This window comes from Homo sapiens, chromosome 7 (assembly GCF_000001405.40).
Source record: "Homo sapiens chromosome 7, GRCh38.p14 Primary Assembly".
In the NCBI taxonomy this organism is placed as follows: Eukaryota; Metazoa; Chordata; class Mammalia; order Primates; family Hominidae; genus Homo; species Homo sapiens.
Window position 1 is genome coordinate 43,989,215 of NC_000007.14, and position 27,459 is coordinate 44,016,673.

The 27,459-nt window shown below is 50.5% G+C and overlaps 1 protein-coding gene and 1 pseudogene across 6 annotated transcripts in view; one reads left to right on the forward strand and one right to left on the reverse strand.

Annotated features, from left to right (window-relative positions):
* POLR2J4 (RNA polymerase II subunit J4 (pseudogene)) overlaps positions 1-27,459 on the reverse strand; it is a 78,300-nt pseudogene that overhangs the window by 48,320 nt on the left and 2,521 nt on the right. Inside the window, exons 2-4 of the transcript NR_003655.3 lie at positions 27,220-27,309; positions 25,392-25,569; positions 24,379-24,465 (exon numbers count right to left, since the gene is read on the reverse strand). The product of NR_003655.3 is annotated as an RNA polymerase II subunit J4 (pseudogene) (transcript). The remainder of the gene's footprint in view (positions 1-24,378; positions 24,466-25,391; positions 25,570-27,219; positions 27,310-27,459) is intronic.
* Positions 8,683-20,910, forward strand: SPDYE1 (speedy/RINGO cell cycle regulator family member E1). 5 transcript variants are annotated; one of them, NM_001378423.2, is made up of 9 exons: positions 8,683-8,745; positions 10,314-10,895; positions 11,852-12,070; positions 13,376-13,603; positions 14,639-14,697; positions 15,928-16,013; positions 18,054-18,372; positions 18,495-18,599; positions 19,453-20,910. In NM_001378423.2, the coding sequence occupies exons 2-8, from the start codon at positions 10,736-10,738 to the stop codon at positions 18,552-18,554; spliced, it is 1,131 nt and encodes a 376-aa protein (NP_001365352.1). In that variant the 5' UTR covers positions 8,683-8,745; positions 10,314-10,735; the 3' UTR covers positions 18,555-18,599; positions 19,453-20,910. The 5 variants fall into 5 exon arrangements, with proteins under 5 accessions (NP_001365352.1, XP_016867505.1, XP_047276171.1 ...); XM_017012015.2 differs by lacking the exon at positions 8,683-8,745 and adding an exon at positions 9,209-9,242; XM_017012016.3 differs by lacking the exon at positions 10,314-10,895.

The window sequence follows — 27,459 nt, forward strand, 5'->3', positions numbered from 1 at the left end:
ATTCCTTTCTTAGAGCTCTCAGTCCTATCTCTGAAGCCCAGGGCACTCTGCGTGCAGGAGGCACTTAATGTTTAGAAAGAGAAGTGGAGGCCGGGCGCGGTGGCTCACGTCTGTAATCCCAGCACTTTGGGAGACTAAGGCGGGCATATCACGAGGTCAGGAGTTCGAGACCAGACTGGCCAATATGGTGAAACCCTGTTTCTACTAAAAATACAAAAATTAGCCAGACATAGTGGCGCACGGCTGTAATCTCAGCTACTCAGGAGGCTGAGGCAAGAGAATTGCTTGAACCCGAGAGGCGGAGGTTGTGGTGAGCCGAGATCGCGCCACTGTACTCCAGCCTGGGCGACAGTGGGAGACTCTGTCTCGAAAAAAAAAAAAAAGAAAGAAAGAAAAAAAAGAAAAAGAAAGAGAAGCGGAGCAGTCAGAGATTGGGGTTGGGGGCAGAGATTGTAGGACTGTATCTCTCAGCCTGTCCAGTTTTTCTTTTCTTTTTTGAGACAGGGTCTTGCTGTTTGGCCCAGGCTGGAGTGCAGTGGCGCATTCATAGTTCACTGCATGGGCTCAAGCCATCCTCCCGCCTCAGTCTCCCAAGTAGCTGGGATTACAGGTGCACTCCACCACACCCAGCTAATTAAAAACAAAAATCTTAAAAAAAAAAAATCTTTTTAAAAAAAGGGGTCTTGTTATGTTGCCCAGGCTGGGCTTGCCAGAGCTTCCTGGGGACATGCATTGTCCTGGACATCTGGAAACCTCTCCTCAGGGAAAGGAAGGAGGCAGGAGCCATGTGTGAGAATTTGGAAACCAAGTAAGGTCTTGGGTTTGTCCTGCAGCCTGAGATGCAGCGGGTACCCCTGTGCCAATCCCCACCCTTACTCACCCACGTCTGTCCCAGGCTGGACACGGGTCAGTAGCAGCAACAGCAACACTAGCAGCTGGGACTGTCCCGCAGAGAGCCCTATGGCTGGGGCCAAGCCTCCAGCTGTTGTCCATCTGTCTGTCCGTCCGTCTGCAGTGTCTGCAGCCCCAGAGGCTCCCCCGTCTGTAGTCTGTGCTGCGCTAGGGGAAGCTGTTCCTGGCATCTCCTGCTGCCCCTCCCAGATACCCCCTCCTCTCAAACAACTGGTTGGACAGGTTTGGGGGCAGAATCTGCCAGCCCAGTGAATCTGGCATCGCCAGGGAGGGGTCTGAAGAGAACATACAGTTGCAGGAACAAGCCTGGACTACCCCCCAACCCCACCCACCAGGAGCGCCTGACCAGGGAGGGGCTGAGGAAGGAGGGGGGGCAGCCTCAGGATCCAGGCTGCCCCAGGGACAATCCCGCCAAGTCTACCCCGTGGATCTCCTTGTCCAAACAGTCCCCAATGTAGCGACTCTTCCTTTAGGACCTGAGGTGGGAGGATCACTCGAGCCTGGGAGGTTGAGGCTGCAGTGAGCCAAGACGGCACCACTGCACTCCAGCCTGGATGACAGAGTGGGACCCTGCCTCAAAAAAAAAAAAAAAAAAAAAAAAACCAACCTAGGAGGAGTTGGTGTCTGTTTTTGGTTCGTAGGGAGTGCCGGTCAAGCAAACTCCCTGGAGTCTCTTTTATTTATTATTATTATTATTTTTTTTTTTTGAGGCAGGGTCTCACTCTGTTGCCCAGGCTGGAGTGCAGTGGTGCGATCATAGCTCACTGCAGCCTTGACCTCCCAGGCTCAAGGTTCTCAGATTCTCAGGCCCCACCCTGGGGAAGGATGGAGGATGAGGACAAGCTTCCCAGGTCCACATGACAGAGGGACTCAGGATTGGCAATTTGGCCTGTGTCCAGCTTTGTTGCTCAGAGAGCTCAGATCCCCACCCTCAATTCACTCCCTTGTGTGGAAGGGAGTGACCCTTACTTTCTAGCACACACAGGGAAGAGGGCTTGGCTAAGAGCACCCAGGAGGTCAGGGCAGGACTGGGGATTAGATCACACCCAAATGCAAGCTCTGTGGCACTCCTGGTATAGCCCTGCTGTCCCCCTGTAGCCTGGCCCTGGGAGGGGGGCTCCCAGACTTCACACCCCCTCACCTCTTTATCCAGGGGACCGGCTCTCTCTTCCTCCTTCATCCCCAGCCTCTGCCAGGGCAGGGTAGTTCCTCCTCAAGACAGAAAATTACCAGATGGAAGTCCAGGCATGGTGGCTCACGCCTGTAATCCCAGCATTTTGAGAGGCCGAGGTGGGTGGATCACCTGAGGTCAGGAGTTCGAGACCAGCCTGGCCAACACGGCGAAACCCCATCTCTACTAAAAATACAAAATTAGCTGGACGTGGTGGCTTGTTCTTGTAACTCCAGCTACGCAGGAGGCTGAGGCAGGAGAACCACTTGAACCCAGGAGGCAGAGGTTGCAATGAGCCGAGATCACATCACTGCATTCCAGCCTGGGCAACATGAGTGAAACTCCCCCTCAAAAAAAAAAAGATGAGATGGGGCTCAGGGCAGGTGGAGCGAGACCTGTGACCACCTCTCCCCTGGATCGGGGTACTAGCCCCCGTCAGCCTGACCCTCACGCTCTAATTATGCCAGATGTCTTCATTCTGGGAAACCCAACAGATTATCACCTGTGGGCCCCATTTTTGGATGAAGAGGGGCCATTCCCTGAAGGGGACATACCTCAGTTCCCCGAGGGGATTCAGATGTTCACCTCAACTCACAAGAAAAACTTCTGGCCGGGCGCAGTGGTTCACACCTGTAATCCCAGCACTTTGGGTGGCCAAGGTGGGCGGATCATCTGAGGTCAGAAGTTTGAGACCAGCCTGACCAATGTGGAAAAACCCCGTCTCTACTAAAGATACAAAATTAGCCAGTCGTGGTGGCACGCGCCTGTAATTCCAGCTACTCGGGAGGTTGAGGCACAAGAATCGCTTGGACCCAGGATGGGGAGGCCGTAGTGAGCCGAGATCACACCACTGCACTCCAGCCTGGGTGACAAAGTAAGACTCCATCTTAAAAAAAAAAAAAAAGAACAAAAACAAAACCTAGGAAGAGTTGGTGTCTGTTTTTGGTTCGTAGAGAGTGCCTTCTAGCTGTGTCCTCATATGGTGGAAGGGTCAAGGAAGCTCTCTGGGGTCTCTTTTATTTATTATATTATTATTATTTTTTGAGACAGGTCTCACTCTGTTGCCCAGGCTGGAGTGCAGTGGTGTGATCATAGCTCACTGCAGCCTTGACCTCCCAGGATCAAGTGATCCTCCCACTTCAGCCTCCCTAGTAGCTGAGACTGCAGGTATAAGGCACCATGTCCAGCTAATTTTTTGTTTGTTTGTTTGTTTGTTTTGAGACAGAGTCTCACTCTGTCGTTCAGGATGGAGTGCAATGGCATGATCTCGGCTCACTGCAACCTCCACCTCCTGGGTTCAAGTGATTCTCCTGCCTCAGCCTGCTGCGTAGCTGGGATTACTGGCGTGCACTACCACTCCTGGTTAATTTTTGTATTTTTGGTAGAGACGGGGTTCGCCATGTTGGCCAGGCTGGTCTTGAACCCCTGACCTCATGCGATCTGCCTGCCTCGGCCTCCCAAAGTGCTGAAATTACAGGCGTGAGCCACTGTGTCCGGCTGCCCAGCTAATTTTTTAACTTTTTCTAGAAAGAGTCTTACTGTGTTGCCCAGGCTGGTCTCAAATTCCTGGGCTCAAGTGATCCTCCCACCTCAGCCTCCTGAAGTTCTGGCATTCCAGGTGTGAGCCACCATGTCCGGCCTGTATAATACAATTTTTCCCTCTCTCACTCCCTTTCAAAAGGCAGTTGAAAGCAGACATCAGAATGTGGGAAGAGCTTGTTTCCCCTTTTTGAAAACACGTTCTTGCTCATCGACTCATCCTCTCCTTGGGTCCCCAGAGATGGGCAGGGCAGGTGTTATGACTAATCTCATTATACGGATGAGAAGAAACCTGGGGCCCGGCAGGGAAAGAAACTTCCTGCAGTCCCAGGGCAGGTCAGCGGCAGGGCTGGGACCCAACCCCAGGTCTCCTGTACCCAGGCAGGACTCCCTCTTTGCCTTTTTTTTTAAATTTAATTAATTAATTTGAGATGGAGTCTCGGTCTGTCACCCAGGCTGGAGTGCAGTGGCACAATCTCGGCTCACTGCAGCTTCCGCCTCTGGGGTTCCAGTGATTCTCCTGTCTCAACCTCCCAGGTAGCTGAGATTACGGGCACATGCCACCACGCCTGGCTAACTTTTGTATTTTTAGTAGAGACAGGGTTTCACCATGTTGGCCAGGCTGGTCTCAAACTCCTGACTTCAGGTGATCCACCTGTCTCGGCCTCCCAAAGTGCTGGGATTACAGGTGTGAGCCACTGCACCCAGCCTGTCACCTTTTTTTTTTTTTTTTGAGACTGAATCTCCCTTTGTCACCCAGGCTGCCATGCAGTGGTGCCATCATAGCTCACTGCAATCTGTCTCCTGGGCTCAAACAATGATCCCGCCTCAGCCTCCTGAATAGCAGAGACTACAGGTGTGCACCACCATGCCTGGCTCATTTTTAAATTTTTTGTAGAGATGTAGTCTCACTATGTTGCCCAGGCCGGTCTCGAACTCCTGGGCTCAAGTGATCCTCCCACCTTGGCTTCCCAAAATGCTGGGATTACAGGTGTGAGCCACTGCACCCGCCCTTGAATGGATTTTAAAAACCCACCTAGGCTGGGCGTGGTGGTGCATGTTTGTAGTTCCAGTCCTTTGAGAGGCTGAGGCTGGAGGATCATATGAGGCCAGGAGTTTAAGGTTGCAGTGAACCATGATCATACCACTCCACTCCAGCCTGAGCGACGGAGTGAGACCCTGTCTCTAAACTAATAATAATAATAATTTTTGAAAGTGTTAAAATCCACCTAGAATTTATTTTTGGTGTGATGTGTGATTCAAATTATTTTTTTCTCAAGTTAGCCCGTTATTCAAACACTAAAATATTGAAAAATGCATCCTAAGCCGGGTGCAGTGGCTCACACCAGCACTTTGGGAGGCCAACGCAGGCGGATCACCTGAGGTTGGGAGTTCAAGACCAGCCTGACCAACATGGAGAATAATAATAAGCCGAGATCACGCCATTGTACTCCAGCCTGGGCAGCGAGAGTGAAACTCCATCTCAAAAAGAAAGAGAGAACGAGAGAAAGAGAGAGAGAGAGAAAGGAAGGAAGGAAGGGAGGAAAGAAAAAGAAAGAAAGAAAGAAAGAAAGAAAGAAAGAGAAAGAAAGAAAGAAAGAAAGAAAGAAAGAGAAAAGAAAGAAAGATGTATCCTTTCCCTATTTGAACTGAAATGCCTTTTTTTTTTTTTTTTTTTTTGAGACGGAGTCAGCCTGGAGTGCAGTGGTGCAATTTCGGCTCGTTGCAGCCTCTGCCTCCCAGGTTTAAGTGATTCTCCTGCCTCAGCCTCCCAAGTAGCTGGGATTACAGGCGCACACCACCAACCCACATAATTTTTGTTTTTTTAGTAGAGATGAGTTTTCACCATGTTGGCCAGGCTGGTCTCAAAGTCCTGACCTCATATGATCTGCTCACCTTGGCCTCCCAAGGTGCTGGGGTGACAGGCATGAGCCACCGCGCCTGGCCTGAAATGCCGTTTTTATCATACGCTGCAGACTAATGCATCCTCAGTGTCACCTCCCAGCTTGATGTGGGACAAGCCACCAAGGGTGTCCTCACCATGGCCCCGCTCAGGCCACCAGTTGGCTATGTTTGCCCCTGCCACCCCAGGCACACAGGAGTTCAGGAGTCCTCTCTGGCCTTGCCTTTATCCTGGGGCAGCTGCAGGTGACAACCTGTGGAAGAGGTGGTAAGAGGAGCCAGGACACAGGCCAGTCTGAGGGACACGCTCCTCCCACAGTCCTGGAGAGGGGCCTGCATGTTTCTGCACCTGGAGGGCCGGGCCAGGGTGGGGAAGACTGGGGATGGGGGGGAGGCTGGACCCTGCAGGTTCTTGGACCTGTGGTCAACTGGGAAGCCAAGTCCCTGATCTGCAGTGAGGCTGCGGCTGCCAGCCCCTTGAATAGGCACAGTAAGCACCTCCCAGCAATGCCACTGTGCAGAAGAGATGTCAACAGTGACAAGGGGGGCCAGGATGGTCCCCAAACCAGACACCCCATCTTCACCCTCTGCCATTTTCCTTCTCCAGGTCAGCCCTGGGGCCCTGGCACAAGCTCAGGAGGGGAGAGAGGCCATGCAAAGTGATCACACTGGACCTTCTGCCCTGAGAGCCTGGGCACTGGGAGCCAGATGTACTGTGATTTAGAAGAATGCGGCCAGGTGCGGTGGCTCACAGCTGTAATGCCAGCACTTTGGGAGGCTGAAGCAAGAGGATCGCTTGAGCTCAGGAGTTCGAGACCAGCCTGGGCAATATGGTTAGACCCATCTCTACTAAAAATACAAAAAATTAGCTGCGCATGGTGGTGCACGCCTGTAGTCCCAGTTACTCATGAGGCTGAGGGTTGAGGCATGAGAATTGCTTGAGCTCAGGGTGGTTGGGGGAGGTTGGGGGGATGGAGGGTAGAGCTGAGCTGGGATAGTACACCACTGCACCCAGTCTGGGTGACAGAGTGAGACCCTGTCTCAAAAAAAAAAAAAAAATGCATCTTATACCTTGAGGGTCATGGAGTCTTTCACGCCTTCGTGTGTGTGTGTGTGTGTGTGTGTGTGTGTGTGTGTGTATTCAGGTCAACTTCCGGAATTTCTGTTTCATTTCTTGGATCAATCTCTCTGTTCAGGTGTCACTACTAGACTATTTTAATCCCCGTATGTATGTATGTATGTATGCATGTATGTATGTATGTATTTATTTTGAGACGGAGTTTTGCTCTTGTTGCCCAGGCTAGAGTGCAATGGTGCGGTCTCAGCTCACTGCAACCTCCACCTCCTGGGTTCAAACGATTCATTCTCCTGCCTCAGCCTCCCAACTAGCTGGGATTACAGGTGCCCACCACCACGCCTGGCTAATTTTTGTGTTTTTAGTAGAGATGGGGTTTCACCATTTTGGCCAGGCTGGTTGAGAACTCCTGACCTCAAGTCATCTGCCCGCCTCTGCCTCCCAAAGTGCTGGGATTACAGGCGTGAGCCACTGCGCCCAGCCAATCGCTGTATTTTTATAGTCTGCTTTGTTCTGTAAATGATCCCTCTCGAGTGTAACTCACTAGTGGGCTGTGTCCTTCTTTGGTGAATGTCTTTTTCCCATTAAACTGTAACTCTCTGAGGGTGGGGACTGGATCTGTTTATCTGTTTAGTTCTCCCACTGAATCCTCACTGTTAACCTAGGGGTCTGGCACAATAATTGTGTCCAGTAATTTTTTTTTTTTTTTTTTTTTGAAGCAGGGTCTTGCTGTGTCACTCAGGCTGGAGTGCAGTGGTGCGATCAGAGCTCACTGCAGCCTCGAACTCCTAGACTCAAGTCATCCTCCTACCTCAGCTTCCTTAGTACCTGGATTACAGGCACATGTCACCATGCCCATCTAATTTTTAAATTTTTTACTTTTTTTTTTTTTTGAGATGGAGTCTAGCTTTGCTGTCCAGGCTGGAGTACAATGGCATGATCCTAGCTCACTACAACCTCCGCCTCCTGGGTTCAAGCGATTCTCCTGCCTCAGCCTCCCAAGTAGCTAGGATTACAGGTGCCCACCACCATGCCCGGCTAATTTTTGTATTTTTAGTAGAGATGGGGTTTCACCATGTTGGCCAGGCTGGTCTCAAACTCCTGACCTCAAATGACCCATCCCCCTCGGCCTCCCAAAGTGCTGGGATTACAGGCATGAGCCACTGCGCCCAGCCAATTTTTAAATTTTTTCTGGAGATGGGGTGCTCGCTATGTTGCCCAGGCTGGTCTCAAACTCTAGGCCTCAAGTCCTCCTGCTCCGACCTCCCAAAGTGCTGAGATTACAGGCATGAGCCACTGTGCTCAGCCCCAACAATTATTTTTGACAGATAATAGGGATGTCTCCTTGCTCTCTGTGTCTGGCCAAGTAGCCCCAGGTGACACTCGTTTTTTTTTGTTTTTGAGACGGAGTCGTGCTCTGTTGCCCAGCCTGGAGTCCAATGCCGTGGTCTCGGCTCACTGCAATCTCCGCCTCCTGGGTTTAAGTGATTCTCCTGCCTCAGCCTCCAGAGGAGCTGGGACTACAGGTATGTGCCACCACACCTGGCTAATGTTCTTATTTTTAGTAGAGACGGGATTTCGCCATGTTGGCCAGGCTGGTCTCGAACTCCAGACCTCATGATCCACCCGCCTTGGCCTCCTAAAGTGCTGGGATTACAGGTGTGAGCCACCATGCCCGGCCGTGACACTCGTTTTATAGCATCAGGCTGGTGACCAGAATGTCATGGCTTCTGGGCAGAGGCCAGCTTCCATGCCGTGTCCTGTCTTCCTAGTGCAGATGTCCCCAGCTGCAGAGAGTACCAGTGTGAGGGAATGGGCTCCAGACTCCCAGAGGGGCCACAGGGATGGCCACGCCAAGCTCTGGGGAGTAGCCGATTCCCCAGCACCTGCCTGCCCATGCACCTTTGGGGTGACTCATAAGACAGGGTGGGGCTCCCACCTGCCCTCTCCCAAAAGGCAATCAGCTATAAAGGCTCTCAGAGGCCCACCCAGCCCCAGGTCATCAAACAAGCCCCAGTTCCATGGCAACCATTATACCCATTCATCAAGGAGATGTAGAGGGAGGTGCTTCCTGGTTCACCCCACCCTCAGCAGAGACAGACCCCAGATCTGGGCCCAGGACTTTGTGCAGGGAGGGGAAATGCAGGTGACTCAGCCCCTATTCCTCCATCAAACCAGGCTTGAAGATGGGTTAAATCAGAGCTTTTCATTCCACAAAAGAGAAATTTTAATGGGGTCAGAACATTGATCTTCTAATATTTGAAAGCCTGTTAACTAGGAGAGAGAGAGCAAACGATTTTGTTGTAGGAGGACCCACCCAGCTCTGACGGTTTAAAGCGTCATGAATGCGAATTTGAACTCCAGAAAAGCAGAGCTTCCTAACAATGGGACTTCCACAGCAATGGGATCTGCTTCCTCTTTCAGTTTGTGCCTTTTCTATGAGCGAGAGACTCCTAGGAAAGCAGCAGCCCATCAGGAAAACGTGTGGGAACTCACTCGCAGGTTCTTTATTTTTTTTGAGATGGAGTTTTGCTCTTGTTGCCCAGGCTGGAGCACAATGGTGCGATCTTGGCTCCCTGCAACCTGCGCACCATGAGTTCAAGTGATTCTCCAGCGCCCTCTCCTGAGTAGCTGCGATTACAGGTATCCACCACCATGCCTGGCTAATTTTTTGTATTTTTAGTAGAGATGGGGTTTCACCATGTTGTCCAGGCTGGTCTCAAACTCCTGACCTCAAGTGATCCACCCACTTTGGCCTCCCAAAGTGCTGGGATTACAGGCATGAGCCACTGAGCCCAGCCGGGAACCCGCAGGTTTTTTGGATGGTCTCTGAATGTCATGTAACTCTTTTATTTTTTATCAAAAAAAAATTTTTTGACACAGTATCTTGCTGTGTTGCCCAGACTGGAGTGCAGTGGCAAGATCATGGCTCACTGCAGCTTCTAACTCCTGGGCTCAAGTGATCTTCCTGTCACATGAGTCTCCCAAGTAGTTGGAACACAGGTGCCAGCCACCACACCTGGCTAATTTGGTTTGGTTTTGTTTTTTTAGAGATGGGCTCTTGCTATGTTGCCTATACTGGTCTTGAACTGCTGGCCTCAGGCAATCTTCCTCCCTTGGCCACCCAAAGTGCTGGGATTACAAGCATGAGCCACTGTGCACAGCTGAAATTTTTCGACTTAGTCTTTTTGTACATGTGATATTTTATTCATAGAATCCATAAATGGAAGGGAAATTTCTGAGTTCAGAGCAATACATATGATACAAAACTTGATATATAGACTAGAGTTTCTTAGCCGAACTGGAGGGGCTGGCTTAGGTAATCCATGGATTCCCTGAAATTGGGGACACCATTGGAAATATGTGTGAGCTCCATTGGAAATATGTGTGAGCTCAGGGGCAGTTTCCTATGATTTTTAGGCCTCAAAATGTCTCTTGGACTCAAAATTGCCTTAGGGCAGAGGACGTATGTACCCCCAGTACAGAATCTTGGACAGTGAATGTGAGTAAACATTCAGCAGAAAAGCTCTGCCAAACTGAGTGCTCTGATGTGACTTTTTCATCAAGTCAGTATTCCTGGGATCTCTTGTACATGATAATCTCACTCTTGTACATGATAATCTCACTCTTGTACATGATAATCTCACTCTTATAAGGTTTCATCGTTTCTGCTTACCCTAGTTTTCTTTCCCACTCTGTTCCCTCTCCCACCAGACTGGACTCTGAAATGGGCACGTACAGAGACGAAGAGACCCCAACATGCTTCAGGCTTTGAGTGGAGAGGACACAGCCTCTGCTGGGACAGGGAACAGAGGGATGTGGAGTCCCTGAAGATGCTTTTGGACAATGGTCTGAGGTTGGGACAGTGGCAGGAGATACCATTCACCCAGGATCTCCAGGACAAGAGATCAGCCTGGCAGTTACATGTGTTTTTTTTTCAAACTGGTTGCCAGGTTGGCATGAACGATGACATCAGAGATTCCGACCTTCCTGATTGGAGGGACCGGACTCCGTGGTGCCTGGAGATCAGTTGGACAACAGTATCTTCTCAGAGCTGTTCTCCACTCCTGACTTCTCCTAGGCTTGAGAATTGATAACATACTCTTCTGGATCCTAGCAGTGTCCAGAAGAAGGCCATGGACAGAACGGAGACTAGGTTCCGTAAGAGGGGACAGATTACGGGAAAGATCACGACCAGCCGTCAACCGCACCGCCAGAATGAGCAGAGTCCCCAGCGGAGCACCTCGGGGTACCCCCTCCAGGAGGTGGTGGATGATGAAGTGTTGGGACCATCAGGTGAGGGGACTGGTGGAAGAAGAGGTGGGATAGGATTGACTAAGACGAAGGAAGGGGGCCGGGTGCGGTGGCTCACGCCTGTAACCCCAGCACTTTGGGAGGCCGAGGCGGGCGGATCATCTGAGGTCAGGAGTTCAAGGCCAGCCTGGCCAATATGGTGAAACCCCATCTCTACTAAAAGTATAAAAATTAGCCAAGTGGTAGTGGTGCACACCTGTAATCCCAGCTACTCAGGAGGCTGAGACAGGAGAATCACTTGAGACTGGGAGGAAGAGGTTGCAGTGAGCTGAGATCACGCTACTGCACTCCAAAAAAAAAAAAAAGAAAAGAAAAGAAAAGAAGGGTCAGCGGTCAGGAAGGAGAACCTGAGGAGGGTGTGTGGGAAGAATGGAGAAATTCAGGCTGGGTGCGGTGGCTCACACCTGTAACCCCAGAACTTTGGGAGGCCAAGGCAGGCGGATCACTTGAGGCCAGGAGTTTGAGACCAGCCTGGCCAACATGGTGAAACCCTGTCTCTACTAAAAGTACAAAATTGAGCTGGGCATTATGGCAGGCACCTGTAATCCCAGCCACCTGAGAGGCTGAGGCAGAAGAATAAATGGAATCCAGGAGATGGATGTTGCAGTGAGCTGAGATTGCACCACTACACTCCAACCTGGGTGACAAAGCAAGATTCTGTGTCAAAACAAAACAAAACAAAACAAAAAAGGAGGGACTCAGAGAGCCAGGGACCAGGGAAGGACATGAAGCAGCGTTCGGAGGACAGAGAGAGAGAAGAATGGGGAGGGGAAGGAGCGGCACATGGGGTTGAGCAGAGGAGAAAATCAGAAAGATGGCTTAGAGAAGTCAGCAGTCTGCGAGTCTGGGGAGGATGGAGAGTGGTTTGGGGTTTTGGGTCGGGGTCTAAGGTGATCAGATGCAGAAGCATTACACAGTGGCCTGGTTTCTTTACTCAGCCCCTGGGGTAGATCCCAGCCCCCCATGTAGGTCCCTTGGCTGGAAAAGGAAGAGGGAGTGGTCAGATGAATCTGAGGAGGAGCCGGAGAAGGAGCTCGCCCCTGAGCCTGAGGAGACCTGGGTAGTGGAGACGCTGTGTGGGCTCAAGATGAAGCTGAAGCAACAGCGAGTGTCACCCATCCTCCTTGAGCACCACAAGGACTTCAACAGTCAGCTTGGTAGGAGGACACCCCAGAGAGCACCTCCAATCCTGTTCTTTCTAAAAAGAGGAAACTTCCAATAACCACACTTTTCCAATGGGAAAGATACGCCCCCAGTGGGTGAGATCTCCACGCAGGAGGACTCAGAAGTGATCACTCATGAGGGACACTTAGGAGACAATAGAGGACTAGGCTAGACTTGATAAAGGTTGGCGCTTGGGATGAGAAAGCTTGGTTTCGGGCTAGGTGCAGTGGCTCACGCCTGAGATCCTAGCACGTTGGGAGGCTGAGGCAAGAGGACTGCTTGAACTCAGGACTTTGAGGCTGCAGTGAGCTATGACTGCACCACTGCACTCCAGCCTGGGTGACAGAGCAAAACCCTGTGTCAAAAGAAAAACGAAGGCCGGGTGTGGTAGCTCATGCCTGTAATCCCATTACTTTGGGAGGCTGAGATGGGTGGATCACTTGAGGTCAGTTGTTCGAGACCAACCAGACCAATATAGCGAAACGTCATTTATACTAACGATACAAAAATTAGCCAGGCATGCCTGTTATCCCAGCTACTCGGGAGGCTGAGACAGGATAATCGCTTGAACCCAGGTGGAAGAGGTTGTTTTGAGCCAAGATAGTGCCACTGCATTCCATTCTGGGTGAGAGAGTGAGACGCTGTCTCAAAAAAAAAAAAAAAAGAAGGAAGGGCGGGCCCAGAAGTCAGGAAGGAGCACGTGAGGAGGGTGTGTGGGAAGAATGGAGGTACTGAGGCAGGGTTCAGTGGCTCACACCTGTAATCCCAGCACTTTGGGAGGCCAGGCAGGCAGATCACTTGAGGCCAGGAGTTGGAGACCAGCCTGGCCAACATGGTGAAACCCTGTCTCTTCTAGAAGCACAAAAATGAGCTGGGCGTTCTGGTGGGCACCTGTAATCCCAGCTACTTGGGAGGCTTAGGCAGGAGAATCACTGGAACCCAGGAGGCAGAGGTTGCAGTGAGCCAAGATCGCACCACTACACTCCAGCCTAGGCCACAAAGCAAGACTGTTTCTCAACAACAACAACAAAAAAAAAAAAAAAAAAAAAGGGACTCAGAGAGCCAGGGACCAGGGAAGGATATGAGGAAGTGTTCTGAGGACAGAGAAACGGGAGAATGGGGAGGAGAAGGAGCGGCACATGGAGCTCAGCAGAGGAGACAGACAGAAGGAAAGATGGCTTGGAGAAGCCAGCAGTCTGCGAGGCTGGGGAGGATGGAGAGTGGTTTGGGGTTTTGGGTCGGGCTCTAGTGTGATCAACTGCAGAAGCATTACACCGTGGCCTGGTTTCTTTACTCAGCCCCTGGGGTAGATCCCAGCCCCCCGCATAGGTCCTTTTGCTGGAAAAGGAAGATGGAGTGGTGGGACAAATCTGAGGAGTCGGAGGAGGAGCCACGGAAGGTGCTCGCCCCTGAGCCTGAGGAGATCTGGGTGGCGGAGATGCTGTGTGGCCTCAAGATGAAGCTGAAGCGACGGCGAGTGTCGCTCGTGCTCCCTGAGCACCACGAGGCCTTCAACAGGCTGCTTGGTAGGAGGACACCCCAGAGAGCACCTCCAATCCTGTTCTTTCCAAAAACAGGAAACTTCCAATAACCACACTTTTCCAATGGGAAAAATAGGCCCCAGTGGGTGAGCTCTCCATGTGGGAGGAATGTGAAGTGATCACTCATGAGGGACACTTAGGAGATGATAAAGGATTAGGTCAACTTGATAAAGGTCAGCGCTTGGGATAAGAAAGCTTGGTTTCGGGCCAGGCGCAGTGGCTCCCGCCTGAGATCCCAGCACGTTGGGAGGCTGAGGCAAGAGGATTGCTTGAACTCAGGACTTTGAGGCTGCAGTGAGCTATGACTACACCACTGCACTCCAGCCTGGGTGACAGAGCAAAACCCTGTCTCAAAAGAAAAACCAAGGCTGGGCACAGTAGCTCATGCATGTAATCCCAGCTACTCGGGAGGCTGAGACAGGAGAATCGCTTAAACCCGGGAGGCAGAGGTTGCAGTGAGCCAAGATCAGGCCACTGCATTCCAGCCTGGCCCACAGAGCAAGACTCTGTCTCAAAATAAATTAATAAATAAATAAAAATAAAAATCAAATAAAGAAAAACAAAATCAATAAACAAAGAAAGTGGTTTCAGCTGTGCCCTCTGAAACTTAATGTCTCTTACTGACTTTTCTAAACCTAAGTGTCTCCATCCATAGTGGGGGATACCAAGGCCATGGTCACACCCTGATGTGTGACTGTCTCATGAGGAAATGATGGGAATTCCTTTATGACTCTGCAGTGGTCCCTCCGTGTCTGCTGGAGGGGGTCCTGGCTGATTCCCAGCTCTACATCCTGTAGATTCTCACACCCAGGGCCTCCTTCGGCCTCTTCTCAGGGGAGTCTCAGAGCAGGAGCCTCTCTCCCTTGCCCAGTGAAAGTCATTCTCCCCTCTCCCATCCACCTCACCCGCGGCCACAATCCTGAGACTTCCCCCCGGGAGGCACACTTCTCCTCGCTGCCCTGCTGCTCCCACGGAAACCCTGTCCTGCTTCTCACACTGACATCTGCTCTCTAATCACAGAGGATCCTGTCATTAAAAGATTCCTGGCCTGGGACAAAGATCTGAGGGTGTCGGACAAGGTAAGGTTGTTCTCCATGTAACTGTTCCTGTTCCAACGCATGGCTGGGGGGAGGGCGCAGCTTCCAAACCCACAGTTCTCCCTCCACCACCTCCCACCAGATGCTCCTACAGTCTTTTTTTTTTTTTTTTTTTTGTGTGTGTGAGACAGAGTCTTGCTCTGTTGCCCAGGCTGGAGGGCAGTGTCTCGATCTTCACTCACTGCAGCCGATGCCTCCTGGGTTCAAGCGATTCTCCTGCCTCAGCCTCCAAGCAGCTGGGATTACAGACATGAACCACCACGCCTGGCTAATTTTTGTGTTTTTAGTAGAAACGGGGTTTTGCCATGTTGGCCAGGTTGGTCCTGAACACCTGACCTCAGGCAATCCACCCACCTTGGCCTCCCAAAGTGCTGAGATTATAGACGTCAGCCACTGTGCCCGACCAGCTCCCATGGTCTTGAGTCTTGGCACCCACAAATTTTTTTTTTGTGAGACAGAATCTAGCTCTGCTCCCCAGGATGGAGTGCAGTGGCATGATCATAGCTCATTGCAGCCTCTAATTCCTGGGCTCAAGCAATCTTCTTTCCTCAGCCTCCTGAGGAGCTGGGACTAGGCACATGCCACCATGCTCAACTAATTTTTGAAATGTTTGTGGAAACAGGGTCTCACTATGTTGCCCAGGTTGTTCTCGAACTGTTGGGCTCACATGATCCTCCTGTCTCCACCTCTCAAAAAGTACTGGGATCACAGGCTTGAGCCGCCACTCCCGGCTATTCTTGGTCTTTTTATGATTTGTCAGCATCTCCCTCAGGATTCTGCTGGTCTCTTGCAGAGTGAATGAGTGGCCCCTGCCTCTCCTATGGGTCCTTTGGGATCTGAGCTCTGGGCCACAGTCTGGCCGCAGCCCTGAAGCTCCTGGCCCCTCTACTCTCAGCTCTTCGGGACAGTTCTCTGCCTGGCACACAAAAGACCCTCCTGACACCAGCCAACCTAGACACACCCCCTCCAAAGATCCCATCGGAGCCCACCATCCTGGGAGCATCACCCAAAACCCTTCCTCTGGCTTCTCGGATTTGCATCCGACCTTCGAATACCCCTCCATCCCGCAATTTCCAAATGAGTACAGTCACCCCAACACTGAGGTCCCTTCTCTGATGGGCAGCCCCTCCCCAGACCCTCATTCCCCCTCTCCACAATCTTCCTCTTCCAAGATGTGACCTCTCCCTCTCTGTGTTCCTTTCTCTCCATCAGTATCTCCTTGCTATGGTCATAGCGTATTTCAGCCGAGCCGGCTTCCCCTCCTGGCAATACCAACGCCTTCATTTCTTCCTGGCTCTGTGAGTGGTTTGCTGCCTCCTATCCGTCAATATCCAATGCCCTGGGACAGCGGGGGAAGTGGGATTCCAGCCTTTCATTTATTCTTTCACCTATTTGTCCTCTTTACTCTGTGTACAAAAAAGAGAGGATTATACTATCATAGACTGTTGTTTCTAAACAGAAACTCAGGCTGGGCACAGTGGAATACGCCTGTAATCCCAGCACTTTGGGAGGCCGAGGCAGGCGGATCACCTGAGGTCAGCAGTTCGAGACCAGCCTGGCCAACATGGCCAAACCCCGTCTCTACCAAAAATAGAAAAATTAGCTGGGCGTGGTGGTGTGCATCTGTAATCCCAGCTACTCGGGAGGCTGAGGCAAGAGAACTCTTTGAACCCAGGAGGTGGAGGTTGCAGTAAGCTAAGGTCGAGCCACTGCACTCCAGCCTGGGTGACAGAGTGAGACTTTTTCTCAAAAAAAAAAAAAAAAAGCCAAAAAAACAAACTCCAATGCCAGTGTACAAATAAAAGAATAAAACAAAAGGAACCATAAACCACTCCTAAGGGGAAAAGAAAAGGAGTGGAGGAGCGGACATGCCACTTCCTCCAGCAAGCAGACGTTTCTGGTTCTTCTCTCTCTCTCCTTCCCACATCAACCACAAACGCCATCGACCTCCTCTGGGTTCCCATGACAGAGGCCACAGTTCAGGTCCCCCTCGCATCACTCGAATCCACTGTCAAATGCTCCCCGCTGGGGTCTCCTGGAGTCTCTCCCCAAGCCAGGGGGCTTCCTAGTGCAGCCTGAACATCTTTCCAAAGCACGACAACCTCACTGCCCACCTGAACAACTTCCTTAGCTGATGCCTTTCTCTATCGAGGCCAGGGTCCACAGTATCAATTCTACCCTCTCTACAATCTCTACAAGCACACTGGCTCGCCATCTTGGTATTTCCTGGCTCGGCTTCACTGCTCCTTCCAAATGCCCTCCACTCGACTTTGTGTTTGTGTTTTCTGTCTGGGTGTCCCGCATACATGTGGCTCTGAAGGGAAGGACCCATTCCTTGAAGTCAGTTCACCCCACAGCCTCTGTGATGCCTTCCCTCATCTTCCAACTTCTGCATGCCCGTAGCTCTCTAGTTACATCCTGGACACTGGGATTAGGTCATCTGCCTTGATTACTCCCAGTCCCATTAGACTAGATGCCTGTAGAAGGCAGGGTCCTGGCAAAATATCAATGTATTCAATTTCTTTTATTTTTTTGAGACAGACTTGCCCTGTCCCCCAAGCTGGAGTGCAGTGGTGAGATCATAGCTCACCGCAGCCTCCATATCCTGGGCTCAAGCGATCCTCCCACCTCAGCTTCTTTATTAGCTCCGACTACAGGGCTGTGCCACCACACCTGGACAGTTTGTTTGTTTGTTTGTTTATTGAGACAGAGTCTTGCTCCGCCTCTCAGGCTGGAATGGAGTGGCCCAATCTCAACTCACTGCAACCTCCGCCTCCTGGGTTCACACAATTCTTATGCTTCAGCCTCCTGAGTAGCTAGGCCTAACAGGTGTGCCATCGCACCAGGCTGATTTTTGTATTTTTAGTAGAGATGGGGTTTCTCCGTGTTGACCAGGCTGGTCTCCAACTCCTGGTCTCAAGCGATCCACCTGCTTCAGCCTTCTAAAGTGCTGGGATTACAGGCATGAGCCACCGTGTCTGGCATATTTCTTATATTTTTAATAGAGACGAGGGTCTTGCTATGTTGCCCAGGCTCGTCTCAAACTCCTGGCCTCAAGTGATCCTCCTGCTTTGGCCTCCCAATGTGCTGGGATTCCAGGCGTAAGCCACCACTCTTGGCCACCAGTTGGGTTTTTGTCTCCATCCTGAAGGAGTGGGAGACGCTCTTGATCAGGTCTCTGTCCAGCAGAGCCCTCCTGAGGAAGGCATGGCTCTCTGCAGGGTGGGTGCCAGTCCTGAGCTAGGAACGGTCCCTTACCTTCCTCTCTGGGAAGCTGACCTCAGCCGGAGGTCTCTCCTGGTGGTGCCCCTGAGCAGCAACCTGATTCCTGTCCTCAGCTACCTGGCCAATGACATGGAGGAGGACGACGAGGACTCCAAACAAAACATCTTCCACTTCCTGTATGGGAAGAACCGCTCTCGCATACCCTTGCTCCGTAAGCGTCGGTTCCAGTTATACCGTTCCATGAACCCGAGGGCCAGGAAGAACCGCTCTCACATACCCTTGGTCCGTAAGCGTCGGTTCCAGTTACGCCGTTGCATGAACCCGAGGGCCAGGAAGAACCGCTCTCAGATAGTCCTGTTCCAGAAACGTCGGTTCCACTTCTTCTGTTCCATGAGCTGCAGGGCTTGGGTTTCCCCAGAGGAGTTGGAGGAGGTGAGTGGGGCCTGGGGAGGTGGAGGAGGTGGGGAGGAATTGGGTGGGCTGGAGGCTGGATGAGGGGAGAGAGGGGTATCCTGGCGAGTCCCCGTCTTCTCAAAGGGCGTTTGTTTTTCCAGATCCAGGCTTATGACCCAGAGCACTGGGTGTGGGCGCGAGATCGCGCTCGCCTTTCCTAGAGCTCCAGGGACCGTGGAGGCCTGAGGTCATCGGCCTGAGAGAAGGTACATCTGCATCCTCCGGGGTAAAGGCAGAATATTGGGGTCTATTTCGGAAATCCGAAGAACCCAATTGCTTGATCCGGCTTCAAGCCTGGGCAACGTGGCGAGATCCCCTCTCCACAAAAATACAAAAATTAGCCAGGCAATGTGGGACGCATCTCTACTCCCAACTACTCAGGAGGCCGAGGCGGGAGGATTGCTGGAGCCTGGAAGGTCGGGGCTGCACGGAGCCCTGATCCTGCCACTGCACTCCAGTCTGGGCGACAGAGTGAGACCCTGCCTCAAAAATAATCATAAATACTGAGTTTGGGGAGGTTCATTATGATTGACGCACTTGAGTTACCGATTTGGGTCGAGGGTTCAGTGAAGCTTTGGTTTACATCTTGTGCAGCTAACCACGTTGAGCACAGAGCATGAGACTTCATCATGAGGAGGTAGGATTAAGGATTAGGCTTCTGGACTTGTGGTTCGTGATGTTGTCACATTAGAAACACATCTAGCATGGTTACAAGTTTAGATCTTAAGTGACACAAAAGGCCTCAGCTGTGATGAAGTCCAAAGCCACATTCTCTGAGGGTGCCCTACTCCCTGGGCAGACCCACCCAAAGTCCTTGCTATGAAGCAGATCACTGGGGCTGACCTTGGGTGTATTAAGTGAGTTTTGGAGTCATGGTCACCAAAGTGTGAGTTTCACAGTTGAACACGATGGTTCAGAAGCAGGGTATAGAATGAAAGGCAGCAGATAAAATTGCATTTCTCAATTGCTCTGAACTCTAGACTTGACATGGGATGTGAATAACCTTCCTGTCTAGAGAGCTGCCTCCTTGAAGTGTGACATTGTCTCTCTCCCTTCCAGAACACCGGACCCAGGGGAGATGTGGATTTTCAGCAGGAACTTTATTCCAATGCTAATGGCAGACACCAGGAAGGAGGAGAGGAACCATTTGTGCAGATCATCTAGAAGAACCTGGACCATTCTTGATGGAGCTGAATACAGTGATCACGTTGTCCTCCTAGGAGCAGGGGTGGGGGGAGGGGGATGGGGTCCTTCTAGGAGTCCTTGGAGAAAAGTAAGAAACCAGGAGTGTTTCCAGTTCCACCCTTTCCTGGGGCACCACCACCCTTTTTATATTGCTGAATTCCAACCTCCCTGGGGCGGAACCTGGAGGTCCTGTTTCTTACGGACTTGGTTGCCACAGTCCAGGAGCATTTGAAGGCACAATGCAGGGGCTCAGATTGGCACAGAATTCTTTTGTGAAATATCAGTGCCACAGATTGTAACAGATAGCTTCATGCACACTCTGCATTTTATTGGTTTGTTTGGAAAATGTTGGCCATTGAATTATTCATAGATTTATTTCAAATAGTTTGGAAATTGTTGTACTTTTGAAAACATGCTGTTCCTGTAGTTTTTTGATGAGAGTTATAGTTGTTATATATACATAAAGATAATTTTCTTTTCATTTTTGAGACAATTCTTTTTATCCTAAATATTTTATCATCTTTAAATTTGTTTCTGTATTATTATATGTGCTCCTGAAGCGAGCACTCTTTTTATCTATGATACTTCCATAATAATCTCTTCTATTTATAGCTATTGGTAGTTCCCCTAAATTCTGACGATAGAAATTTTTATTTGCTGTTTAGGTTTGTGACTGAATTGTGAGAATTCAGTTGTGATTTTTAACATGTGTCAGATATATATACTAACACGTCTAATATATACTATTTTATTGGTTTATTTTGAAAAACATGGGTATAGAATTATTTAAATATTATTTTATTTATTTAAATATTTATTAAATATATTTATTTATTTAAATGTTATTATTACTTTAAATATTATTTTAAATATTTTGGAAATACTGGTATTTTTGAATAGATGCTGTTTCTATAAAGCTGTGTGATGGTATTATAACTGTTATATACACATACATATAATTTTGTTTTCCTTTTTAAGAGAGGATTCTTTTCATCCTAAATCTTTTACCTTTCAATCTTTGTATCTATTATTACACGTGCTGCTGAAGGGAGCATGGTTTTTATCTATGATACTTAGTTAACATATATATTACATTTATAGCTATGTAGTAGTTCCCCTAAATTCTTGTAAAAATAAATTTTTATTTGATATTTCATCTATGTTTGAAATGTGAGAATTCAGATGTAATTTTTTACCTTGATTTGGCATGTTTGTATGTTACTTTAAAGAGGATGTGTGTTCTAAAGGAGGACATGAGCTGTGTGTTTTCAAGAGAACAATAGAGTGTGTCTCTTGGGGAAACGTAATAAAAATGAACTTTTCTCACCTTCACAGCAATTGTGATCATATTGGTCTGGATTGATTATTTGCTGCCCAGTGATATTTTTCCTTAATGGGGTTGTGGTTATTTGAACATATTTATTAGCTCTGAAAGATAATCCTGTGCCGTTTTTTATGTAGAAAAAAACATAAGGCTGGGTGCAGTGCTCACACCTACAATCCCTGCAGTTTTGGAGGTCATGGCGGGAGGATCACCTGAGGCCAGGAGTTTGAGGCCAGCCTCAGCAACATAGCATCTACATCTATTTTTAATTTTTATTTTTTAAAGAAAAACAATAGAAGAGAAGGCTGATCCCAAGCTACAGGGTTTTTTTGTTTGTTTGTTTGTTTTGGAGACAGAGTCTTGCTCTGTCTCCCAGGCTGCAGTGCAGTGGCACAACCTCGGCTCCCTGCAACTTTCACCTCTGGGTTCAAACAAATTCTCCTGCCTCAGCCTCCCAAGCAGCTGGGACTACAGGCACCCGTCTGTACGTCCGACTAACTTTTGTAAAAATAGTAGAGACAAGGTTTCACCATGTTGGCCAGGCTGGTCTCGAACTCCTGACTTCAAGTGATCCACCCACCTCGGCCTCCCAAAGTGCTGGGATTACAGGCATGAGCTACTGCGCCCAGATGCCAAGCTAGAGTTTTAAGGCAGGAAATGAGAGAAAGATATTGAGAGAGGAAAACCAGGTGGTAAGAAAACTCTAAAGGTGGCCGGGCGTGGTGGCTCACGCCCATGATCTCAGCAGGAGTTTGAGAACAGCCTGGCCAACATGGTGAAACCCTGTCTCTACTAAAAATACAAAAATTAGGCAGGCGTGGTGGTGCACGCCTATAATCCCAGCTATTTGGGAGGCTGAGGCAGGAGAATCACTAGCAGAGATTGTGTCTCCTCACCCCCTCTCAAAAAAAAAAAAAAAAAAAAGAAAGTTCCTGCAGCAGTTAAAGCTGTGAAAGGCACTCTGCCATGCAATTCTTTGTGATTTTTCTTTTTTCTTTTTGGAGTTGGGGTCTTGTGCTGTCACCCAGACTGGGGTACAGTGGTGTGGTCATAGCTCACTGCGGCCTCAGACTCAAGCTCAAGCGATCCTCTTACCTTGCCTTTCAAATTGCTGGGATTATAAGCATGAGCCACTGCATCTGGCCTGTGACACAATTCTGTTGTCTTTTTTTTTTTTTTTTTTGGGGATGGAGTCTCGCTCTGTCACCCAGGCTGGAGTGCGGTGGCGTGATCTTGGCTCAATGCAAGCTCCGCCTCCTGGGTTCACGCCATTCTCCTGCCTCAGCCTCCCGAGTAGCTGGGACTACAGGCGCCCACCACCATGCCTGGCTAATTTTTTGTATTTTTAGTAGAGACGGGGTTTCACTGTGTTAGCCAGGATGGTCTCGATCTCCTGACCTCATGATCTGCCCACCTTGGCCTCCCAAAGTGCTAGGATTACAGGCGTGAGCCACCGCGCCCAGCCTATGTGATGCAATTCTGATGTCAACTCCCTGATGTTACCTCAAATGCCACAGGTTAAGGCCACCAGCCCCCACTAGGCTGCCCTCGCTTTAGACACACCTGCAGGCTTGGGTGTCCTCAGACCACATGTACTTCTCACCAACTGGCTGCAAATTTGGAGGTTCCCACCATGCCCTCAAGTTCGATAACTCACTAAAACAATTCACAGAATGCAGAAAAGCATGATACTTTCTTTCTCTTTTTTTCTTTTTTTTTTTTTTTTGAGACGGAGTCTTGCTCTGTCGCCCAGGCTGGAGTACAGTGGCCACCATGCTTGGGTAATTTTTGTATTTGTATTAGAGACGGGGTTTCGCCATGTTGGCCAGGCTGGTCTTGAACTCCTGACCTCAGGTGATCCACCCGCCTTGGCATCCCAAAATGCTGGGATTATAGGCATAGCCACCATGCCCGGTCGACTTCTAGAGTTTCAATAACAGAGATGTGATTCAAGAAGGGAGACATGTTTTGTAGATGGCAGGAGCTTCATGAAAAGAAGCCAATGAAGGGCAGGACGTGTAGCTGTCTACCTACAGGAAACCAGCCAGGAGCCTCCCCACAGGGACTTCAGCACAGACGGCCGGGAAAATCTGCATTAACCTGAGCTCTGGACCTAAGAGAGGACAAGGCCTTGACCATTTCTACAGACTCACAAGATGCAATCTCTGTGGTCCATGCCCGTGGTGTGATCTGGGAAACAGGGGGCCTTCTAAATGCCAACAACAAGGAAATCAAATGTGCAACAAACAGAAATAGCGGCATTGACGTGGGCCATGGAGAGGCCTAAACAGATGACTGCAGTCCACTGCTAAGGTCATCAAAGGGGTGACTCTGAAATAATAAATTTCAGACGCCACGGCCCAAATAGCTGCATGAGCTGGGGAAGTCCTCCACATGCCTCTGCTTCCTTCAGTACCTGTTTATGAAATCAGCCAAGGTACTTCCCTGGGGAATTTCCTTTCTCTTTCTTTCTTTCGAGATGGAGTCTTGCTCTGTCGCCCAGGCTAGAGTGCAGTGGTGCAATCTCGGCTCAATGTAACCTCTCCCTCCTGGGTTTTAGCAATTCTCCTGCATCAGACCTCTGAGTAGTTGAGATTACAGGTGCATGCCACCATGCCCAGCTAATATTTGTATTTTTAGTAGAGACAGGGTTTCACCATCTAGGCCAGGCTGGTCTTGAACTCCTGACCTCGTGATCCACCCGTCTTGGCCTCCCAAAGTGCTGGGATTACAGGTGTGAGCCATCACGCCCGGACTTTTTTTTTTTGAGACGACGTTTCACTCTTGTTGCCCACGCTGGAGTGCAATGGCACGATCTCAGCTCACTGCCACCTCCTCCTCCCAGGTTCAAGCGATTATCCTGCCTCAGCCTCTCGAGTAGCTGGGATTACAGGCACCCAACACCAAACCCAGCTAACTTATTGTATTTTTAGTAGAGATGGGATGTCACCATGTTGGCCAGGATGGTCTTGAACCCCTGACCTCTAATGATCCACCTGAATTGGTTTCCCAAAATGTTGGGATTACAGGCACAAGCCACTGCGCCCAGCCCCTCCCATACCTCTTTTGGCCAAGGCAGCACAATTCAGAAGAATCTTGCCAGGGAAGACTGGTAAATGGACGTCAACGTGATGCCTATGGCTCCTGGTGGATTTAGATACCTCCTGGTGCTTATTGATATCTTTACCAGTTGCACGGGGGCTTTTCCATGCCAGACTGAAAACGCAGGAGATCAAGGATCAACCTTCAACTATTTACTAGCAGAACACTGAGGGGACTGTGCGGTCACCAATACCTCCTATTGCACTTGGATAAACACCTCCCAGGAAATAGAGATGAACAGAAAGGACATAGTCAAACAAGCAGAATGGCTGCATTCCTTCAACCAGAAGGGTCCATTAGTCTGTTTTCACACTGCTATAAAGAATTATGAGAAACTGGGTAATTTATGAAGAAAAGAGGTTTAATTGACTCACAGTTCTGCAGGCTGTACAGAAAGCGTGGCTGGGGAGGCCTCAGGAAACTGACAATCACGGCAGAAGGCGAAGGGGAAGCAGGCACGTCTGGCCATGTTGGAGCAGGAGAGACAGAGAGAGTGAAGTGGGAGGGCTGCAAGCTTTTAAACAACCAGATCCCACAAGCGCTCACTCAATATCACGAGAACAGCAAGGGGGAAGTCGGCCCCCATGAGCCAATCACCTCCCACCAGGTCCCTCCCACAACACTGGGAATTACAATTTGACATGAGATTTGGGTGTGGATACAGAGCTGAACCATGTCAAGGGTAGTTCAACCGCTGAGATTGATTGATTGATTGATTGACTGAGATGGAGTCCTGCTCTGTTACCTAGGCTGGAGTGCAGTGGCACAATCTCGGCTCACCGCAACCTCCGCCTCCCGGGTTCAAGCGATTCTCCTGCCTCAGCCTCCTGAGTAGCTGGGACTACAGCACATGACACCATGCCTAGCTAATTTTTGTATTTTTAGTAGAGACAGGGCTTCACCATGTTTGCTAGGCTGGTCTTGAACTCCTGACCTCGTGATCACCCTGCCTCGGCTTTTCTTTGCTGTGGCTCTTTCCCCTCTAAACTGTTCTAGATTCCCAGGCGCCCTGCCAGGAACAGGTGTGGGCCACCCTGGTGTGAGCTGCCTCCCAGAGGCCTGGAAGGACCAGGCCTTGCCAATCACCGACAAGGGACATAGAAGAGCACCCCCAAAGGACAGTAGGTCCCCGCCCTGATCTGGCCCACAGCACCCGAGGGACCCTGCAGCACTACAGAAGTCCCATGGGGCAGACGGGAGCCACAGGCCCAGACTCCACAGCCCCTCAGTCCACATGTCCTGGAGCCTGTGGTGGAAGTCCCTGCTCTTCCATCACCGCCGCCTCTCCCCCAGGACCTCCGAAGAAACAGGCCAGGGCTGTCCCAGGCCTGGGCACACGGGCCAGTGTCCAGCCCACCCCGTCTGCCCCTCCAGGCCCCGCCCTCACCCGGAAGCGCTCCTCCAGCAGGGACAGCTCACTGATGAGGTCGGTGATGGCGTTGGTAAAGGCTTCCTGGGGGCTGTAGTCCGGCGTGGTCTGCACTCGGATGATGATCTTGTGCTCCAAGGGGTGGGGGACTTTGTAGCCAGCAAATAGCACTTGCGGGTCCTTTAGGTCACACTGTCTGAGGTCCAGGGACAGACAGTGTGAGGGTCTAGCCTCATGCCCAAGCTGGGTAGCAGCCAGATCAGAGCAGAAGAACAGACTTTCTAGCCAAAAATCCCCCCCAACTTTTTTTCCCAAAAGTCTTCAAGGAAAGTAACACTTTTAGGAAGATACCTCATGTGGGGACACCCTACCCCCGCCACACACACACACCCTGCATCCATGAGGTTGAAGGACCCGAGCTGGAAACAGATTCCAGCAACCTCTTCCCACCGGGCACCGCAGTGCTGGCAAAGAGATCTCCCAGGCAGTGAATGTCCAGCCAGTGTTCAGTGACTCAGACCCAAAAAGCCCACAAAGAGCCTCCACGCAGCAAATAAAGGCAGCAGGAGAGGAGGGCCAGCTCCCGGCAGTGAGTGGAATGCAAATGGAACTCTGCCCTCCGAGCAGCACAGCCGCCAGCGGCTGGCCACGCACACTGGGCCTTGTGCCATGGGGCTGCGTCGTGTACTGTGCCCTGGGCATGCAGGGGTCTCCTCTAGAGCGGCTCAGAGTGGTGTGAGCACCACAAGGGGGACCCGTGCATAGGTGGCAACACTGAGCTCAAGAGCAGGGGAGCAGCAGGGCCCCAGGAGAGCTTGGGTGCCCCACTGGCTGGGCTCCGGGCAGGAGTCCTCCATCCCCGTGCCTGACCACACCAGGAGACTGGGCAGACCCCACTCACAGACGGGGAAAAGCCTGGCTTCGCTGGTGGCACCAGAGGGAAGAGCCAAGTCTACAGTAAAATGACAAGTCCCTAGGCCAGAATGGCAGACACATCCCTGACCAACCACCTGGCTAGGACCTCACTGGTATAAACAAACACCCACCAACCAATGCAGGGCGCCCATTAGGGGCACTGGATAGCCACAGAACTCCTACTTCTTTCTCTTGTTAAATAGAAGTTCTAGTCTCTGCCACATACATCTTAGAGGCCCAGGTGGCACTGAGGTCACAAACGGGTGGCATGAGGGGAGCTAATCTTGACTGCTTTTCAATGTCCCTCAGCATGAATAACACACAGGCCTACTGTGCTGGAATCTGCTGCTCGTTCATTTACAGAATGTGCACTTAATGGTGAATGTAAGGCCGGGCACAGTAGCTCACGTCTGTAATCCCAGCACTTTGGGAAGCCGGCAGGTGGATCACCTGAGGTCAGGAGTTCGAGACCAGCCTGGCCAACACAGTGAATCCCCGTCTCTACTAAAAACACAAAAATTAGCCGGGCATCGTGGCGTGGGCCTGTAGTCCCAGCTACTAGGAAGGCTGAAGCAGGAGAATCACTTGAACCCGGGAGGCGGAGGTTGCAGTGAGCAAGATCGTGCCATTGCACTCCAGCCTGGGCAACAAAGAGAGAAAATTCCATCTCAAAAACAAACAAACAAAAAAACAGTGAATGTAAATGCACGTGTTCATCTACAGAATAAGCCACTACAGAAGCGTGGCTTATGTGAAGACATGGAGGTCGGTGTCATTTTGATAAAAAGGTACCAAGGTTATAAAATGCCCAGAGCAAGCCCCCAGAAGGACTTCCTGTAGCTCAGAGAGACTGAGGAAGACTTGGAACTTGTGCTTTGCCCAGAGGGGCCCATTAAACACAGCCCCTGAGAGCCTGTGACGGGAAACTTACGATTTAATGATGTTTCCCAGTGTGTGGTCTTCTTTGTTGATGGTGAATAAACAGGCATTGGGTACCTTGGTGTCCTTGTTAATGGTGATCCTAGGAAGACACAGAGGCCACAGATGAGGAGCAGGGGCTCCCCTCCTCCCACCCTGAGTCTAAACCCTGTCTCCTCCCGGCCAGGTGTGGTGGCTCGTGCCTGTAATCCCAACACTTTGGGAGGCTGAGGTGGATGGATGACCTGAGGTC